Source organism: Homo sapiens, chromosome 4 (assembly GCF_000001405.40).
Source record: "Homo sapiens chromosome 4, GRCh38.p14 Primary Assembly".
NCBI lineage: Eukaryota > Metazoa > Chordata > Mammalia > Primates > Hominidae > Homo > Homo sapiens.
In genome coordinates, this window is record NC_000004.12 from 150,290,093 (window position 1) to 150,311,950 (window position 21,858).

The following is a 21,858-nucleotide window of genomic DNA, read 5'->3' on the forward strand; positions in this document are numbered from 1 at the left end:
TGTTTGGAAAGCCTAGAAACAAAATCTTGGAACCATATAACTCATTCTCACTGCAGTGTTCTCAGAAATCTGCCCCTCCCAACTACTTGTCAGCCCACATAGTTAATACCCAGGGAGAAATAATCAGCTCAAACAAGATGATTCTGGCCATATGTTACTTTTCAAAGATGCCAAAACTATCAATAATCTCTCATTGAAGTCTCTAAACCAAACGAAGAACAAGAAAAAAAAATCTTCTGAAAAATATCAAGTTAATTCTTCTGATAAAAATTTGCAATAGTTAAGGGATACAAAAAGTCTTTACCTTTGCTTTCTGAGATAGTAGGATCTCCCAAAGGCTAGACCATAAAGCAGAACAGATTCCCTTAAGAACCTTTTAAAGTCTTACTGCTTGAAAAATTGTCATGGCCTTCAATAATGCTGAGAGAAAAATTTATCTTGCTGCTAGTTTAAGGGACTACATTTCAAACTCTTCTTAAAGAAAAATAAAAAGAGAAAGAGGACAGACTTCTAGGACTGCTTTGAAAAGCTTGAGCAATTACTTCAAAGGAAAGGGTGTCTTTGTCCAGAGAGCACGTTTATGACTACTGATGCAAATCCTAACCAAAGGCTGAAAAGGATACCCAGTGCATCTTTATGGATGGCCTTAAAGGAAGATGAACAAGTCAAATGAGATTAAAGACAGCCCAAATTCTGCTGCAAATACCAGGGCACATCAGGTTTTACAGAGGCACTTCTCTCAGTACGTAATACTAGATATCAATACCAACTTACAGAGACAACTATAACAACCTAACTTGCATTTAAGCAACACAAGATCTCTATACTAACCACTTAGCATTTATATTGGACTTATGTTTTATTTATTTATTTTTTATTATACTTTAAGTTTTAGGGTACATGTGCACATTGTGCAGGTTAGTTACATATGTATACATGTGCCATGCTGGTGCGCTGCACCCACTAACTCGTCATCTAGCATTAGGTATATCTCCCAATGCTATCCCTCCCCCCTCCCCCCACCCCACCACAGTCCCCAGAGTGTGATATTCCCCTTCCTGTGTCCATGTGATCTCATTGTTCAATTAAACACCAAAAGCAGTGGCAACAAAAGACAAAATTGACAAATGGGATCTAATTAAACTAAAGAGCTTCTGCACAGCAAAAGAAACTACCATCAGAGTGAACAGGCAACCTACAAAATGGGAGAAAATTTTCGCAACCTACTCATCTGACAAAGGGCTAATATCCAGAATCTACAATGAACTCAAACAAATTTACAAGAAAAAAACAAACAACCCCATCAAAAAGTGGGCGAAGGACATGAACAGACACTTCTCAAAAGAAGACATTTATGCAGCCAAAAAACACATGAAAAAATGCTCATCATCACTGGCCATCAGAGAAATGCAAATCAAAACCACAATGAGATATCATCTCACACCAGTTAGAATGGCAATCATTAAAAAGTCAGGAAACAACAGGTGCTGGAGAGGATGTGGAGAAATAGGAACACTTTTACACTGTTGGTGGGACTGTAAACTAGTTCAACCATTGTGGAAGTCAGTGTGGGGATTCCTCAGGGATCTAGAACTAGAAATACCATTTGACCCAGCCATCCCATTACTGGGTATATACCCAAAGGACTATAAATCATGCTGCTATAAAGACACATGCACACGTATGTTTATTGCGGCATTATTCACAATAGCAAAGACTTGGAACCAACCCAAATGTCCAACAACGATAGACTGGATTAAGAAAATGTGGCAAATATACACCATGGAATACTATGCAGCCATAAAAAATGATGAGTTCATGTCCTTTGTAGGGACATGGATAAAATTGGAAGTCATCATTCTCAGTAAACTATCGCAAGAACAAAAAACCAAACACCGCATATTCTCACTCATAGGTGGGAATTGAACAATGGACTTATGTTTTAAAACATTAGGTGAAATATTTTAACACCACTTGGCAGAATAGCAAACGTTTTCATTAGTTGTGTTTCTTTGGTGCCCTCGCAACATTAAGTATATTTATCAAACAGACTCCGAACCACTTAAAATTACACCTGAAAGAAGAGAAAAGAGGAATTTCTCTAGTATCTTGCTCATAAATATCCAGTGAGAAGAATATTTCATAAGGCCTATATCCATTTAGGAAAACAGGTGACAATCCAGGTACAAATAGATCTGACATGTATTTTCTGGCAAACTTGTAGTTACTTTATAAAAAGTGAATGAAGTTCTTGGTGTTTTGGCGTCATCTCCTTACTCTTATGAAAATCAGATCACTTTGAAATGCAGTATAACGTTTTCACTTGTAGGTTAAATATGTTGTTATTAGCAGAGTGAATCCTCTTCATTCCATTTTCTCAATACCATCTATTAGGAAATGAAGCGGGATTAAACATTTTCCTATTCCTAGTTTTGTACAACTAAAATTATTTCTTCCAATTGATACTTAGTTTAGATGACTCCTGGCTGGGCCAGAAAATCACATATCCCACTTGTTCACCCATTCATTCCTTCACTCCTTCATTCACTTAATAATATTTATTGAGTTTGTATTCTTAAGATATGTGAGGTACTATGGAAATAAGGAAAGGAGTAAAACACAGCCTTTTATTTAAAAATAACTTGATTTTAAAGGATCATTGGATCTGGTTTTGTCAACTGTACTATAAACCTGCAAATTATAATTATAAATATCTATGCTTGTAAAGGTCAACATAATAGTACTGAAGTCCATACCACTTGTAACAACTAATTTTGTATGCAAAATCAATATTTAACAATAATTAACATGCTTAAAGACCACCAATATAATTTTCTTCATTAGTAAAAATGTATCATCTGAACTTTTATAGAGGAAAATCAAAATATAAAACCTGGCTTTATAAAAAAAGTAATAATTTCAATAGAAAACAAATTAAGAAATAAAATATATTTGTTTAAAAAGCCCAAATACATAATGAACTTATTAGGCATATAGATTATAGATAAAAAACAAAAATATATTATACAATATATGCCAGTCATTTCCTAAAGACGGATACCTCTATTTTACATGTGCCTTTTGTACCATTTAGTTACAATTGATTACTACAAAACATTCATGTGAAAACTGAATACTAAGCTTTCTCATGCGGCTCACCATAATGGTAAATCAAGAAAGGAAATGGCTTTGCTAAAGCGGAAATGAGCTTAGATATTAAATGTTTCTTAAACCTTTTCCATTAACTTCCTAGTTTTACAATGGAAATTATACTGCATTTTAATTATGCTTAGAAAAACTACTTGAAATTTGTCCTATACATTTCATCTTCACCAAATCTTTTCCCTTCCCCTATTCATCATGGTCTCTTTGGTGAAAAATCACAATTTGATTAGACATATAGACTATAGATGATAAGCCATAGCTGCATTTAGAGTACAACAACCATCAGACAGGAAATTTTAGTAGCAACTTCTTGTAAATAATATTAGAAGTATTAATGCAAGACAAGATAATGTTGGTACAAAGAACAACTGTAAGTCCTTGGTATATAACATTTCTCCTCTTCTCTCTATGATACATATAAATGTTGGTAACACGGGAATCACCCTCTAAGACTAAGGTTGACCCTTGAACAACATAGGTTTGAACTGTATGGGTCTACTCATTTGTGGATTTTCTTCTGCCTCTGCCATTGAGACAGCAAGACCAGCCCTCTGCTTCCTCAGTCTACTCGGTGTGAAGACAACGAGGATGAAGATCTTTATGATGATCTACTTCCACTTAATGCATAGTAAATATATTTTCTCCTTACGATTTTCTTAATAACATTTTCTTTTCTCTAGCTTACTTTATTATAAGAACACAGTATATGATACATATAACATACAAAATATGTGTTAACCAACTTTATGTTATCAGTAAGGCTTCCAAGTCAACAGTAAGCTATCAGTAGTTAAGTTTCTGGGGAGTCAAAAGTTATATGCATGTTTCTGACGGTGTGGGGGGTTGGCACCCCGACTCCTGTGTTGTTCAAAAGTCAACTGTACATTAGAAAATGGGTTTATATGAGTGTGTACCTGCAAGTGTATACTTAAAAGTATACCCCTTAAATGTATATTTGAAAAATACAAAATCTTACCATGACATGTACTGTCATAAGAACTCAGTATAATACAGTTGTCTTTTTGTGTCTCTCGCAAATACTAAGAATGCTTTAGTGATAGGATTGCATCAACTTCTCTATAGCTGATATTCTAATTAAATGTATAGTTTAGATAACTCTGACCTAGACTGCCTGAGTTTAAATCTAGGCTCCAGCACTTGCTAGCTATGTGAGCTCCCTTGGGCAAGTTTCCATAATTCTAGTAAGGAGATCCTAAAAGTGTCAAGGCCCAGGGCAGAAAGTAAAGGCATATTTATAATTTCTCCATGCCTCATCTATAAGTCAAGGATACTAACAGTAGATACCACACAGGGCTACTGTGAAGATTAATGAGTTAATATGTAAAGCACTCAGGATGGTGCCTGGCATGTAGTGAGCACCCATTAGTATCATATAAGTAGTAGTAGCAGCAGGCCAGGCGCAGTGGCTCACGCCTGTAATCCCAGCACTTTGGGAGGCCAAGGTGGGCGGATCACAAGGTCAGGAGATTGAGACCATCATGGCCAACATGGTGAAACCCTGTCTCTACTAAAAATACAAAAAAATTATCTGGGCGCGCTGGCGCCCACATGTAGTCCCAGCTACTCGGGAGCTAAGTCAGGAGAATTGCTTGAACCTGGGAGGTGGAGGTTGCAGTGAGCCAAGATCCCACCACTGCACTCCAGCCTGGTGACAGAGAGATACTCTGTCTCTTAAAAAAAAAAAATAGTAGTAGTAGTAGCAACAGAATGATCCCTTTTTTCACTCTGTTATAAACACTCCTTTCATTGAAAGTATATTTCATCCTATGCTGCATAAAAGCTAATTAGAGATGGTTCTCTCCTTGATAATTCATATAAATTCTGATACAACTACTAATATTTGGCAGCCTAGAGGCTAACAGTGGGGAGTGAAGGTACAGTACAGTAATTTGGTGCATTCCCCAAATTAAAATAGCTTTTTTTTTTTTTTTTTTTTTTTTTAAGACAGGGTCTCACTCTGTTGCCCAGGCTGGAGTGCAATGGTGCAACCACAGATCACTGCAGCCTTGACCTCCCTGGGCTAAGGTGGTCCTCCCACTTCAGCCTCCTGAGTAGCTGGGACTACAGGCACCACACCCAGCTAATTTTTTTTACTTCTTGTAGAGACAGCGTCTCCCTATGTTGCCCATGCTGGTTTTGAACTCCTGGGCTCAAACAATACCCTTGTCTTGGCCTCCCAAAATGCTAGGATTATAGGCATGAGCCACTGTGCCCGGCCTAAAGTATCTTTATTGTCTCTGATTATCAAGGTAGTACATGCTCATTATAAAACATTCAGATACTTCAGTAAAGTATGATGAAGAAAATGAAAAATTGCTTCCAAATCCCACTACCTATAAATAAATGTTGCTAATATATGTCTTGTGATCATTTCATACTTTTTCTATGCATAAATGTACATAGAATACAAGTGTATACACATATAGGCATAGGTACTTACATATGTAGCTTCGTGATCTTTTACACTTAGCAATACAAAGAGTGTATCCCTCCATGTCAATATTACAAATTTATAGTATCTTTGTTAATGCCTGTACAGGACTTCATTACATGGACATATCATTACTATACTTAACTAATGTGCTTCTTTTTTCCTACTTGCTTGAGACTTCATTTGTTGTTTTCCCATGGAGGGGCTTGGTCTTTGGTTCTAGGTAAGCTATGGCTCCTGTAGCTGCATATGAGTGTCTGGTAACATAAACATGGTAAAATTCTACCCCCCAAAAAGAAAACAGGTAGAAAATTTGCTGAAGTGAAATCTTATTCAGATTTGTTGCAATGCAACATTGTCTGATTTTTATGAATATAAATTAAAACTGAAAATTGGTTTTATCTATTTATCCTAAATACCCAAATTATTTAAAATTCTTTATAATACATCCTCCTTAACATTTTTAATGTTCTTTTGTTAAAAATACGTAAGTAAGGGACTCTGAAAACTATAGAGGAGTTTCATATCTTTAGCTATTAAACACTCCTGACCCCACTCACCCAAAGGAAATAAGGCAGTCTCTCAGTTGTGCAAAGTTACAAGCTACAAGAATGAAAGCTTAAAAAGCTCAACAGTCATGCAGCCTTAAGCCACAAAAGGCAGAAACAATTCAGAGAATTTTTTTCCTATATAAAAACACTTCAAATCCAAAATCTGAAGTCTTATCAAACACATTCATTTTCTCACTTGAATGTGAAAAAAATTACTGTTAAAAAATTACCAGATAAATGAAATGTAATGATATACTTAGATAATGGCCCTGTTAAAAGACCAAGAAAATCAATTTTTAAAAATTTGTTAACACTTATAAACTTCTGCTCTGTAAAGCGATATAAATGAGCATAGCACATAAAAATTGAGGTAACTAGAAAAAATAGGGTTTAACTGTTGCTTCGTAAAAAAAAAATCAGAGATTTAAATATTGAATTTCATATAAAAATGGTTATCTTTTCATAAATTATCAGTAATATCTAGAGTAAAATGTGAGTTACATAGGCACAAAGCTGTCGTAGAATTTCTCTTACGAAATGAGCGTTTTTGGAAGGTAGTAAAGTCAGTCTACTATGTTGTTCCAGGAAGCTTTAATTAAGTGTATCCTTGGTAGTTCTACCAATAATGTTATGGACCACCCCCCCGCGCCCACCCCCACCGCCGGCACAGAGTTCTGCAATATTTTAAAAGCAGAAGAATCCTACGTTTAGTTGACTAGAAGGAATTTTTACTTTCTTAGACTAATGCCAACTATTGTTTGAAATTAAATTTCCCATATGAGCATAAAGTGTCAAGACAACTTTCTTTGGCATGGCACTATTAAAAAGGTCTACATATGAAGATACTCAATCTGAGGGTATAAATCATCAATTCTTCTGTTCTCATATTTATATGGCTATAACCTATGGGCTGAATGGTACAGTCATTTTTCTCTGCAACCAAACAAGGTAAATAAATGTGATATATTGGCATATCACCCCACCACTCTGCATATGGTGCACATTAAGGTTGTATTCATTTGCCATATGAATATAATTCCTTTTTACCACATCTACTATTAGTTACAAGCAGTAAATACAGAGTTGTTTTGCTGGAACTTGAGGGCCTGCATTGCATCATGGAGCACTAAACATCCTGGACCTTCTGGAGAATTTCATAGACATACTTTTAATGTCACCTGAACTTGAACACTGCCAACATACCATTTGAAAACGCTTCTTGATAAATGCTTCAAGGAAAAAATAAAAATACAGGGTAGCTGTAGTGTGACAGTACATTCCAAATGCAGGCCCAGAAGGGAAGGTCTTGATGAGACACACACAAGAACTCTTGTTCCTGACAAAGGATCAGATCAAGAGTCATATCCAGGTATAAAATGGTTTCTTGTTTCAAGCATTACTTTCTTATTCAGAATCTAGTGAACATAAGGAACCTAAACATAAAATACCATCCAAATAACTTCCTCAACGGTAACTTATTGAAGAGCTGTGATCAAGAAGCTAACAAGTTTATTTCATCACCAACTGTGGTGCTTTGTTTCATTAGGCAAATATTGTGCTTGCTTTTTCCTTACACAAAATATTTATCGTACAGTTGCAAATCCAGGTTAGGGTAGGGTAAAAGGAGGAGTAAAGTGATTTCTTTTTAAGAACTCATATGGTTCAACACAAATGTACATACCTTGACATTTGTGACCCTTAAATAATATATCACAGGCAATTAAAAACAAAGTACACCTGTCTTAACCAAGTACCAATTTTCATGTTTCCCAACATTAAGTCCCCAAATGCATCCAGCAGATGGTGCTCTAGGACACCTACTTACAGAGAGTAATATTGTTTATATTACATCCACCTAAATTTTGGCAAGACAAAGAATAAGAATTTATCAGTAGCTTCAGTAAAACATACTAGGCTTCACAATAAAAAGGACATAATTCCTAAATATGTGTACAAAAATATGCATACACATAAGCACATGTGCACAGAGGCAGCCAGTAAATAATTCACACCTGGACATGTTATGATACTACTTTTCTTACAGACTTGATGAGTAGTCTATGTGTATCAGTAGTATTTATAGTCACATGGCAAGATCATTCTAAATTCATTAAAAAAAATTTAGAATGCCTTAAAGTTAGAATTCATTTTTAATTATAGCAGGAATGTCTCATTAGGGTGATACTAGTAAAATTAACAACAGTAGGATTTACGGTAATGACTTAAGTGATTGATGAGCGTATAACAAAATGAAGTTTTAGACAGAGAAAAAGCAGGGCAGCTATGGCATACAGTACTTTAAAAAACAGCTCTGTGGTCTGTTAGTGCTAGCCTTATGGTTAATAAAACCTTCTTTCTAATTAACGGTGCTGAAATATTCTTAAAGAACAGAATCTTGTTGTTATGAAGAAAAGTTAGGTTTTTTTCTCAGTAGACGCCAATCCCATAAAGGAGAAAGCTGACATAGATTAGCATGTCTGATTGCAATGAGGAAAAGAAAAAAAATGCCACCTTTCAATCAAATCAAAACCAGAATGCGAGAATGGAAAATGTATTACTGAAATACTACACACACAAATCTGTGCAACACCCTCACAGTTAGCAACCATTTGCTTCTGAAGCTGATCGAATGTGGCTTTAAAAGATATTATTCAGATATCTAAAAATACCTAATAAACATTTAATTTTTTAAATCCATGTTTATGAATATAAAAGTGAATAAATAATAACTGTTTTGTATATATTCATCTTGCTTATCTAAATAAGATCATGTCAAAGTTTAAAGTATTTATTTATCAATGGAATGCACTGGGGAACATTTTCTCCAAAATTTAAAAATGTACAGTCTGGAGAGCATTATTCTGAAGGTGAAATAACTATCTCAGGAAAAGCACTTTGGTGACAAGGCTCAGTCCTAAAACACAGAGTACTAGGACAAGGAGAGAGAGATGCCATGCTTTCATGTACAAAACATCTCTCAGTGAAATATTCTTGGTTAATTTCATTTTTTAAATCCCTAATTAAATGGAATCCTATATTCATTTTTCTTCTCATTGAAAAAACTGCATTCCACAGGAGATAATTATTACAAAACAATAGAGTCAAAGATGAAAAACTATCTGGTATACAGGAAAATAAGCCTTTTGCTATGTAGTCTAGGCAGGCTTCATAAAACATTTACACTTTTTAAAGCCCCAAATTACAGTATTTATAGGTTTTACACTTGATCTTAGCCAAAAGGCTGAGAAGCGATGTATTTATAGGTTTTATCCAGTTTGAATTAGCCTGAGATTGCCAAAGCAGTATGTATATTAATATTAGATAATATGATATTTTTAAAACTTTGTCATACAGCTATCAACTTTACATATAACATCAATATTAGATATGGAAAAAACAGTGTATGTAGGCTTATGACCCTAGAAAGTAAAATGACTACCTATTCCCATGATTTTTTAAATAAAAAAACCCTGAGATAGACCTATAAAATGCAGAAAAAGCAATAACCTGGTTTTCTTTTATCTATTTTCCCTTCAAGAAAGAAAAAGTCTACAATAAAAAATTTAAAGTTGAGGTATTAATGTGCATTTATAGAACATATTGCAATTATATGTATATACACGCTTCACCACTTCTTAAAGGTCATTTACATTGTATCTAAGAGGTACAATATAGGAATACACATAACCTAAAACCCTTCATCTGAAAAGCTCTGACTTCAGCAGCTGCATTGTGGAACCATCAATGAGCCAGAGGCTTATAAAATCCGAACCAGCTTGCATGAATGTTTGAAACAGTTTACACACGGTAACAATGTCTTTGTTTTTGTTTGTCATTTTCTTTTGAAAAGCGTAGATTGCATTTTCCATTTTTCTATTCTAATATGTGTAAATTCTCATTATAAGAAAAAGTGCCTATTTGTCTTTCTCCTGGATTCATCTTTCAAAGCTGAAGCAAAATTAAATCGGGGCATCAGACATTATACAGGGGCTTGAAAGGATAAGGTTCACTTTGAGAAAGGTAATTTAATTCAGTCAAGATACATTACAATTTTCTAAAATTTTTATTAGATGTGCTGTTATATTATTCTTTTATTGTTTTTCTTTTCATTGCTAGCATTACTAGGAGGTAATGTCCACCATACTGCAGACAATGAGAGGGTATAGATGAAGTACGCTATGAAAAATATAACATTATAATATTTACTCTAATGCCAACAAGATGGTGTTTTGTGGTGATTTATTTGCTCTAATCATCCTGTGCTTCTGATAACACCTTAACTCAGTTCTGTTGTTGCTTTCATTTTACAGACAAGACAGAAGGACCACAGCAAAGCTTGGAACTTAGATTTTTTTTTTACTACAAACCCCAGGATTTGTTCAGTCCTACTTAATTCGTTTTTTAAAGGCCATGCATGTAAAAACAATCTCTAGGTTGAGTTACAAAGTATTTAAACATATGAAAATATATTTAAATGTATACATATATCATGATATATATCATACTTTCTTCCTTTGCGAAGAGCTGAAAATTCCTAACTTTAAGGCATACTTAACTTTCTGAAATGCAATAGTAATTACATACAAGTGTAGCTAATAGGTCTTTAGCTGCTTTTTAGAATACACATTGGTAATGACGGTGTATAACATAGAGAACATGATTAAGTAAAATAAAACAAGAAACCAAGAACCCAAATATCTATGTGTGTTCAGATTTCTTTATGTGCATGAAATACCTTACATTTTTAAGGCAAGAAAAAGTTCTTAAATATTTTGAGATAAATAGCAAAATGGTAGATTTATTATCAATTTTAAATATAGGTTTGCCTGAGATAATTGAGTGAATCTCGGTAACTGGATTTACAGAAACCAGAAAAAAGAAATTGAAAGGAGTCACTTATTCTAAGAGGACAGACAGGAAGAAGGACCAGAATATTGTGTTCATGATGAAAAGAACATGGTACTTTTCAAAAGAATATGAAAAACAAAATCCCTGAAATTTGCATCTTTGTAATTTCTATTGTAATTACAGAGATGTCTGTATAAATGTGAAATACATGTACACCTACTCCCCGACATATACACACACTACAATTTGATCACAAAGTCTGTATTATCAATAGCATCACAGGCTTAACATTATTTTTCATATCCTATTTGCATAGGAAATTATCCCTTTTTTGATTAAAACAGGAAATATCTATTAGACGTTCATTGAATAAAAACTGTATTTACCTATCACATCAAAGTCTATAATGTACATAATAAGAAACAGCTTTGAAAAATACTTCACACACACTTCTTTTAACATTATACTAGCATTTGACTAAATGTTTTGAAAAAAAGGTTCATTTTCATACAAATATTATACATTTAAGAACAGCTTTGAGAAGTCAATCCAAGATATGATGGACTTAAACATATTTAGACCATTTCACAATCTGGGGTGGAGTGACAGAGCAAGGACCGGGTATTCAGGTAAAGTCATCAGGAAGAATGTGATCCTTCCTTAACCAAATACATTGCAACTTGCCTTAAATTAAGAAACTGTAAATATTTAAGAGCAGTTAAAATGCTCTACCTTCTGAAGTAAAAATCTAAAGCTATTCTTGCAGGAATTCTACAGTGTTGTCATAATCATTTTAATTAAATTCTCATTTTTCAGGTGGTCCCTTTAATTGTTTTTTCCTACTTCTTAATGTGTTTTTCTAAAGCCATTTCTTTTCTGCAGCTGTGTGCGATTGGTTTTAATGGTAGCTGCTTCCTTTTTTGCCTTCTGTGAATTACAATTTTAAATGGTTACACATTTTTTGTTTTACTGCCTTCAGCATAGTTTCATAAAGATGTTTAAGGCTGTTGGTGAACATTTTCATTTCCCATCTGAAAAACCAAGAGCCAATTTGAGTATTCCACATTGGCCTTTTATGACCTGTTTTATCTTTTTAATACATAAATGAAAGCATAATTTTATCAAGACTAGTTTGTTTCTATGAAATTATTATTTTTATTTTGTTCTTTTAAAATATGAATTCAATAAACAAGGTAATATGTGATTGCTCTTTTATGCTGTATCTTCATGAATAAAAACTACTTTATTTGGTGACAGCTATTTCCAATGAAGAACTAGAATTTTTGGATCATAAGAATAGCCTATAATATGAAACATAAGATTTCATGCTTAGATTTTAATTATCAATGGTCACAAAATTGATAATGAGGCTATTTGGATCATTCTTAAATTATAATAAATAAAAAATACTTGATAATCCTGTCTCACTTTTACCATAACAAAAAGGTAACTTTACTGCAAAATGTTATTCTCTACATCCTTGTAAAAGTTTACTTAAAAAATGAGTCATACTTACTGCCTGGGTTATCTCCAATCCCACTGCATTTTCCATTCCAATACCACAGCAAAAGAGTTGCATCACGTGACCCTGAGAGAATGTAGCAATTTCCCCCAATATATGACTCAGAACGAGCAAGGCAAGTGACGACATCCCAATGGCCAAACACCACTTGGATCAATCTTCCTGTAATGCAAAACAATTTTCTTTAAAAATGCTATTAAAAAAATAAAAATTCTAGTGAACAGATAACTTGTAAAACAACGAAGCTATATGAACTCTGATGGTCATAATTCAGATTTTATAATAATTTGACATGGTCCAACCTAACAGTTTTCTTTGCATGCTAACAAGAACAACAAAAAAACAATTGAAAATTGTTAACATTTTTGAAAGGCATGTGTTAAAACTATTTCAACAAATAATACTTGAGGACCATGGCACTGTATCATTACAAATGGCTTCTATAAATTACAAATGAATCATGTTTACTGATTAAAGCAGGCCCAGGAGAACCCTTTTGGAACCATTTTAACACTTTCTTGAGTTACTCTATATGATTCAAAATTAAACTTAGTTGCTTTTCTGTAAAAGTACTCATAATTTAGATGTCACTAATAAAAACCTATTTCTGATTTACTGAAGATTTAATGTATTTCTTGTTTTAAGTGATCTATACAAAGACAATATAAGACACTTTGGAGAGCTTCTACCTTTTCAAATCAGGATTATATGGAAATTATGATGAAAGAACTAATATATTGTGATTGCAATTTGAGCCAGGTGATTCTTTGTCTTAATTTTCTGATGAAAATTCCTTGAGGGTGAAATCAAGATGGTAATGACTGGGGACAAAGGAGAGGAACCCAGTAAACTTACTATATATCTAGGGCTTCAAACACAGAACAGTTGTTCATGTAAAGGTGTCAGAAAAAAAGTAAAGCCCTCACCCTTTTTTGTTATTTTTATTTATTTATTTTTTTGAGGCGGAGTCTCGTTCTGTCGCCCAGGCTGGAGTGTAGTGGCGCGATCTTGGCTCACTGCAAGCTCTGCTTCCCAGGTTCACGCCATTCTCCTGCTCAGCCTCCCAGGTAGCTGGGACTACAGGCACCCACCACCACCACGCCCGGCTAATTTTTTGTATTTTTAGTAGAGACGGGGTTTCACTGTGTTAGCCAGGATGGTCTCGATCTCCTGACCTTGTAATCCACCCGCCTGGGCCTCCCAAAGTGCTGGGATTACAGGCGTGAGCCACCGTGCCCAGCAGCCCTCACCCTTTAAGAATCTTTGTTTAACCAGATATGGTGGTAGTAATTCACACAAACTTGTCTAAACAATTAAATAGCTGTGACAGACCCCCATTCCATCTTTAGAATTTCTAGCTTACATATTTCCTTTGAAATGTCTACAGAGTCTACAGATGAATGCCATACAATGTCTACCCTTAATATTCAGCATGGCTTTCTTTTTCTTTAAATAAGTTTTTATATTTCGATTATAAAATATAATTCCGATGTTCAAGAAAAAAAGGCTACTAAGCTGAAAATTAAATTAATATGCCTAAATAGGTTATGTGTTTAACCCGTAATACATTGTAAACTTCTTAAAAGGTTAAGGTCCCAAGTACTGGCATATCAAGTGTATTTAACTTTTCAAGATAATAAATATAAGATAATATTTACATTAAATTTTTAAAATTCTTGATTTTAATAAATCTAAGGCTTATTATGAAGGCTGAAAATTTAGAAATAAAATTCTGAAATATTATCTAAATCAGATGGAAAAGTCAAATACATGTTTTCATTCATGAGTGGCAGTCTTGCATATAGCCTACTTCTAATAAATTTAAAATCAGATTCACTTCAATCTCAAGTTGCAAAACTAATATAGTACTTTTTTTCTCCTGTGATTAAGGGAGAGCAGACTTCAAAGCAAGTGTCTCTAGCTGCTAAATGTTCAAGATGTTCACTTTTGAATTTCTTCAGCCTTTTAAGTTGACACCAAAACATTTCATTAAAAAATAAGCTTATATCAATAAAGAATAAAAAAGAATCCAAGACCTTCAAGAACTAAAAAAAATTGAGCAAATTAAATGTGAAATATATAATAATTTTTACTTCATTTCCAATTTACATGACAAACAGAATGTGGAGGTTCAGTGGTAAACTGGCGGGGATCAGATTACACGCAGGCCTTACATAGGATAAGACAAAAGTTAGGTAGCTGAAAGCAGTCTTATTAATAACTAGAAAATCAAAGGTTAAATCCATGTATTTTAACTACTGAAAGAAATACATCATATATACATCATACATCATGAATACATCATATAGTGATGTGATCATAGAGTATATATATGACTTCTGCTTTAGCCTATGCCTAAATGCTGAGAGCACATAAAATATAGGTGTGATTTAAATAGATTATGTATGGGCAGGCTTATTTCAGATTTGAAACCCAACAATCAGTGGGTTGTAGGAGTGAGGAGGAGTGAAATAACTAACCAGGTACTTGAGGTAGACGACATAGAGGAAACCCAGGTGTTCTTAGTGCAGTAGGAGGCTTGCAAAGAACAGCTATTCACTTGGTAACTTAATTTCCAACTCATGTGAGGACAAAGGGAAAAAATGTAGCTGTAAAGGTGGGATGGATTAAATATAGGGGCAGAGTTTTACAAGAGTCACATGGTAATTCTCATGAGTTGAAGTCACTGCTCTGTTTCTCCAATGTCAGTGTAAGGAAACATACATTCAGTCATGGTGGTTCCTTTTCAAAATTTTTAGTGTTTTGATTGTTTTCCAAAAAGTTATCACAATTAGTTTTCATTCAACAAATACTTAGCACCTATTAAGTGCCAAGCATTAGGCCTTCTTACCTGTATACAGTGGTGAACAAATAGACATGGTCCCTGCCCTCATAGCCTTTACAGTCTTGTGGGGCAGACAGTCATTAAACAAACCCAGACTGGTATATAATTATGAATAGGGATGAGTATTATAAAAGAACAAGGTTGGATTAATGACAATAACAAGATAGAACAAATTTACACTGGGTGTCAGGGAAGATCTAAATGAGAGAGTGACATTTAAGCAGTTACATCTAAAGGGTTTTATATGTTAACACAAATTAACTTTATTCTTTACAATTTATACTTTGGGCTCAACTCTGGAAAACATTATTTTTTTAAGTTTACTTTTTCCTGTTCTGGCAGCCTTCCTCAGCAATATTTGTTATTGCTATAAGGTTGAGGTTCACTCCTCCTAAATAAATCACAGCATATAAATACCTGCTGCTCTTTTTGGTAAATTATTTTCTGATAATCTTATAAGTGTTCCTCAACCTTTATTTTTTGTTTCCTTTAATACCAGTCCACCTCTCCACACACTAATATCAAATATTACCACAAGCACTAGAATATCCCTTTTTTGACAGAACAAATTTTCTAGTTAATGTTTTATTTGACAGCTGTGCTACAAATAAAAAAATTCAAGCTCAGGACTCTGCACCACTGAATCTAAAATGTGGCCTGAAAATAATTCCGACTGCCAGGGGAAGGTTTTATTGTTGCCTCTGCTGTTCTGGTTGTGGCCCGAAAACATGATTTATGTTTAAAGAATTTCCTGTTACAATCCATGTTTCTCCTCCCTCCTCCCCAATCTAATAAGAGAAGGATTTTTTTTTTTGGCTTGTGTGCTAAAATATAATTGAATTTAACACTTGTGTTAGCTTTGCCATTATATATTACTGATCATATGATTTTCCCTTGATTCTGTGCTAAACTTAAGAAAAAATATTTAATATTCCTATTGTTGTAAAATCACAGACACATATTTACCTTAACTGAAATTATTTTAAATAAAACTAGCATCAGAGTTTTTATACAAGATATTAAGAAAGACACCAGGACTATCGTTTGAGATTTTTTTTATACAACTTTTCTGGTAAGTATAAATATTTTTATTTCACAAGCTAAGTCAGTCCCACTGAAATGAAGTTTAAGGCTATTCCTTATTTGTACGTTTTATACACACAAACACACACATTTTTAAAGACATTAGAAGGTATTTTGAAAGAGGGAAAAGAATGACATCAGGTTTATTAAGTCTAATGTAACATGGCAAACATACTAGGAACTTAGTGTTACAAATTACAGCATTTTCCCAAAAAAATCAGTGACTGACTGGTAACACCTAGATGAGACAACATGCTATGATCACAAAGTGTGCTACATTTAAAATTTAAAAAGCTAGGTCCAAGGCCTACTTCTGTCACTATTAGCTACATACATTTCAACGAATTACATAATCTCTCTAAACCTCAGTTTTATTATCTGAAAAATGGGGATAAGACACCTGTCTACTTCACAGGATTATTGTGAGACTGAAACAATATCTAGTATGTGAGAGAATTTTATAAATTCTATAAAATTGTGTGAATATAGGATTTTAATTATTAGTGTTATATGAAAGTGAAGTTAGCTTTACTTTACAAATGTTAATACTGAGTGTCTTTAAAAAACAATAATATAGAATGTCAACAAACTAAAAACACTCAAATGTCAAAACCAAAGATTGACATGGTTTGTGATTCCATTTATATGACATTCTGAAAAAGGCACAACTAAAGATGAGGAACAGATTAGTTGTTGCCAGGAGGTTGAGGGTGGGGTAAAAAGTTGACTTCTAGTAGGTGGCACAGGGTATTTGGGGGCGCTCTGCACCTTGATTGTGGTGGTGGTGAATTACTCTATGGTTTGCACTGTAAACCAAAAAGAGTGGTTTACAGTTCTATTAGTTCTATATTACAGTGTAAAATTCATTTTCATGTTTAAAAATGTTTTAATCACTTAAAAAATATATGGAAAAACAATATGAAGTCCAAAAGAATATTTGAGAAAAACTCCAGGAGTTTAAGACCACCCTGGACAACAGAGTGAGAACCCTGTCTCTATAAAAATTTAAAAAAAAAAAAAGCAAAAAAAACAAGAAATAGCTGGGTGTAGTGGCATGTGCCTGTGGTCCCAGCTACTTGGCAGGCCGACGCAGGAGGAGATCACCTGAGGCCAGGAGTTTGAGGTTGCAGTGAACTGTAACTGTGCCACTGTACTCCAACTGTCTCTTATACTGTCTCCAACTGTCTTCTTTAAAATAGGCAGAAAAAAAAGACATGTCCAAGACTCAAAGAGGAGTGTTTAGGTTCAATAGTAATCCACCCCATAGACTTAAACATCTAGTAAAAGCCCAAATAATCAAAAAGGCTTGAATGGTGATGTTTTCTTTCCTACACCTACAGAATAAAGATGCAAACTATAAGAAAACCATGTCATCAATTCCATATAACAAACAATAAAGATTAAAAAGATGTTCAAGAACAAACTCCTTGAATAACCAAAAATTAATTGTTCTATAAACTATATTAAGGCAGGAGTATGGACTCAAACATTTTATAAAGATTATTAATAAGACTGAAAGATGATTTACCATAAAGCATTCAAATAACTAGAAATTTTAATTTAAAAGATTTTTCAATTCCTACAACATTAAATAAAGATATATGTAGGCCTTTGTTCCAGCTGAAATATCTACTGTCATAATATACAGTCATGAGCTTTATAACACAACTTTTTGGTCAACGATGGACCACATATATGATGGTGGTCCCATGATATTATAATGAAGCTGAAAAATTCCTGTCACCTATTGACATCATAGCTGTGGTAACGTTGTAGTGCAATGCATCACTCACGTTTGTGGTGGTGCTGGTTTAAATGGACTTACTACACTGCCAGATGTATAAAGATACAGCACATACAATTATGTATAGTGCATAATACTTGATAATAAATAACTCTGTTACTGGTTTATGTACTTATTATCCCATACTTTTTATTGTTAAAGTGTAGTCTTTCTACCTATAAAAAGAAAAAGTTGATTCTAAAATAGGCACAGGCAAACCCTTCAGGAGGTATTCCAAAAGGCAGTGTTATCACAGGAGATGAAAGCTCCATGCGTGTTCTTGCCCCTGAAGACCTTCCAGTGGGACAAGAATGTGGAGGTGGAAGACAGTGATATTGATGATCCTGACCCTATGGAGGCTTAGCCTAACTTATATGTTTTTGTCTTCGTTTTCTAAAAATTTTTTAAAATAGAAAAAAACCTATACAATAAGGATATATAGAAAATATTTTTGTACAGTTGTACAATGTGTTTGTGTTTTAAGCTATGTGTTATTACAAGAATTGAAAAGCTTAAAATCATTAAAAAGTTTATAAAGTAAAAAAGCTTCAGTAAGCCAATTATTAGTAAAGAAAAAATTTTAAAAACAAATTTAGTGTAGTCTAAGTGTACAGAGTTTTATAAAGTCTACAGTAGTGTACAGTCATATCCTAGGCCTTCACATTCACTCACTGCTCACTCACTGACTCACCCAGCGCAACTTCCAGTCCTGCAAGCTTCATTCATGGGAAGTGCCCTATACAGGTATGCCAGTTTTTATCTTTTATTATTATTATTTTTTACTTGCAGAAGACAATGGAATGGTTTTTATCTCTTATACCATACTTTTACTGTAACTTTTCTATTTTTAGATGTGTTTAGACACACAGATACTTACCGTTGTGTTATAATTGCCTACAGTATCCCATATACTAGTATGCTGTACAGATTTGTAGCCTAGGAGCAATAGGTGACCCCATATAGCCTAGGTGTATACTGGAATATCCCATCTAGTTTGTGTAAGTATACTCTATAATGCTGCACAACGATAAAATCCCCTAACAATGCATTTATCAGAATGTATGCCTGTTGTTAAGCAACACACGACTGTAGATCAATTAGCTCTAAAGAATTAAGAGCTCATTTTAATTATTTTAAATATCAAACTATATATTTACTATAACTTTATTTCATCCTGTAACAATTTCTAAAATATTTTAAGGGACACCATTAAATTTCTCAACGTTTCTCAATTTCTTACATGCAAAAATTTGTAAACATTTACTCAGCCGGATCTCCTACAGTAATACTGAGCTCAGCTTGGTTTGTCCCTTAGGGAGATGCATGTAAATGAATATATAGACTGAAAATTTTTATATTTTAACAAGAGCTCCTGTCACACATAAAAGCAATAGTCAGCTACTTTTCTTCATGATGGTGTAGATTTCAGCAAGATTCTAGGCAGAATTGGGTGGAGGCAAGATATCTACTGCCAAGAGTTAGACTTAATGAGTCTTTCAAGTAGGAAAAAGAAAATCCTTTAAATAATACAAAAGTGAGAAAATACACTTCTGTGTGTGTGCACTTGCCGTAAGATTATGCATATACTCATGCATGGTATTTACATACCAGGATTTGCCTTCAAAATGAATCATTTATTCTGTAAGCATGAGCTTGGGTCACAAACCTATAAAAAACTGTCTCTTACAAACATGCTGTAGCAAATTTAATAGTGGACTATATATAGTAGATTATTATTTGAAGAGGGAAAACAATGCCCTCTTCTCCCTATTTTGTAAATTTTAGGATTTTGTAATTTTTGGAAGGAAGCAGATAAGAATGCATCCTAAGCCTCTCAATACTACTTATAGTAAACTTTAGTTCACTGATAAAGAAAATGAAAATTACCTGTGTCTGTAGAATAGACTCTGAAACTTTTATCCCAGAAGCCACAGACGAGAATATAGCGGTTGTCTGAAGTGATGACAAAGCACTGGGAATGCACTTGAATACTTTGGTCTAAAAGGTCAGTGATTTGCCTCCTGTGCATTCCTGTATTGCTGGCTGTAAGAATAGGGAGGAAAAACAACTATTAAATCCACATGGGCAAAGAAATTCTATAGTGAGGGAGAAGAGGAGACACATTCCCAGATAAGAGTACTTGATCCTTAATTCTAAGTATAATAATTGAAAAACCGAGTAGGAAAACATATCCAATTGCTGGAAAAATGTGGGTAGCTAAATTCAATATCTCAGTTAAAAATTTTGCTTAGAGGAAAGAAAGAATAACACACTACTATTTAAAAATAGAACACAATTCACAGAACATGCTTTCTAGCTCTTGGGCAGAACCAAACTAGATTACAATCTCCAGATTGCATCACAGTTAGGTTTGTGTTTCTGACAATCTCATTACATTTATTGTCATGAGAATGGTTCATGTTGTGACAATCTATTACCTTTAACATTTTGTCACAAGGAAGAGATATTAGGATTTAAATGTCATATATTTGAAATATTGTAGCATCTTGTACTACTTTGGCTTTAACGGGTCTTTAATTTGACTAGATGGGAACTCCCATTTCCCCTGTTTACAACTGCACTTGCATGTAAGGAAAGGGTAGAATGACTGTTTATTAAAGATTCCTGTAATTGAAAAAGTCAAAGCACAGCAGACTGCCACTTTCTTACTCCTTATTTAAGCAATAAAACAAGACAGCCTTGGCAGTGTGTTTCAAAGTGCTACGGTGCACCTGAGACGGGGTTTGTCACCAAGAAAAAGGTCAGACATAGAGCAACACCGAGCACATGGGAAGAGTAATAATCGTCCAGAAATACACCATCGACTGTGCCATTATCAGAAACGGAATCTTCACTGAGATGACTTTTTTGGCATTGAGGCCAACCAAATAGAAAGCTTTGTTTCTAGTGATCTAAGGGTTATTTCACCATCATCTCTCCAGTACAAGTAAGGATTCTGATGCTGCTAAAGAAATTTGATTGTACCAGAAATCAGAACAAACAAACTTCTGCATCCGATTATTAAGCTTTTCACCATAATTTTCAATTTTTTGAAAAATCAAACATAGAAAAATATTTATATGCTATTCATTGTATGTAATAACTATATTAATGTGGGTAGTTTAATAGAAAGCTCAGGAAGTAAAACAGAAGAAAAAAAAGTATTCAAAATACTCTCCAGTGCTGTGCTGGGAGCCACTGGGGACACAGAGGACTGATGGATCTGTTGCCCTCATGGCACACACAACACGGCACACACGTACACATACATGTGCAACACTGCAGAAATTCTGCTAATGTCTGTGGACACAACCATTTAAGATTATTGGATAACTGTTTGATAATGGAGGCTTCATATGCTTTTGGAGGATTAATGGGCTAGAAAGTGACAGCAGTAGTGAAAAGGGCAGAATCCTAGTTGGGAATCATTTTTTCCCTCTCCTTCTAACAAAGGGAAGTTGCTGGCAGATAATAAAAGCTTTTGTGGATATCATAGTGTTACTACAGAGAGACAGTGTCCACCAACAGCAATCAAGTATCCCATTGCAATGAAGTTGTATGATACAATTTTTTTTTAAATTCCAAGAAATCTAGCAATTAAAACAAGGT

General features: G+C 34.1%; 1 protein-coding gene across 11 annotated transcripts in view; it reads right to left on the reverse strand.

Annotated features, from left to right (window-relative positions):
* LRBA (LPS responsive beige-like anchor protein) overlaps positions 1-21,858 on the reverse strand; it is a 751,293-nt gene that overhangs the window by 25,658 nt on the left and 703,777 nt on the right. For 10 of the 11 annotated variants that reach the window (XM_047416462.1, NM_001367550.1, NM_006726.5 and 7 more), the window contains 2 exons: positions 20,137-20,292; positions 12,533-12,700 (listed from right to left, as the gene is read on the reverse strand). In XM_047416462.1, coding sequence (XP_047272418.1) covers positions 12,533-12,700; positions 20,137-20,292 — 324 coding nt within the window. The remainder of the gene's footprint in view (positions 1-12,532; positions 12,701-20,136; positions 20,293-21,858) is intronic. The other variant, NM_001199282.3, reaches the window with a different exon arrangement.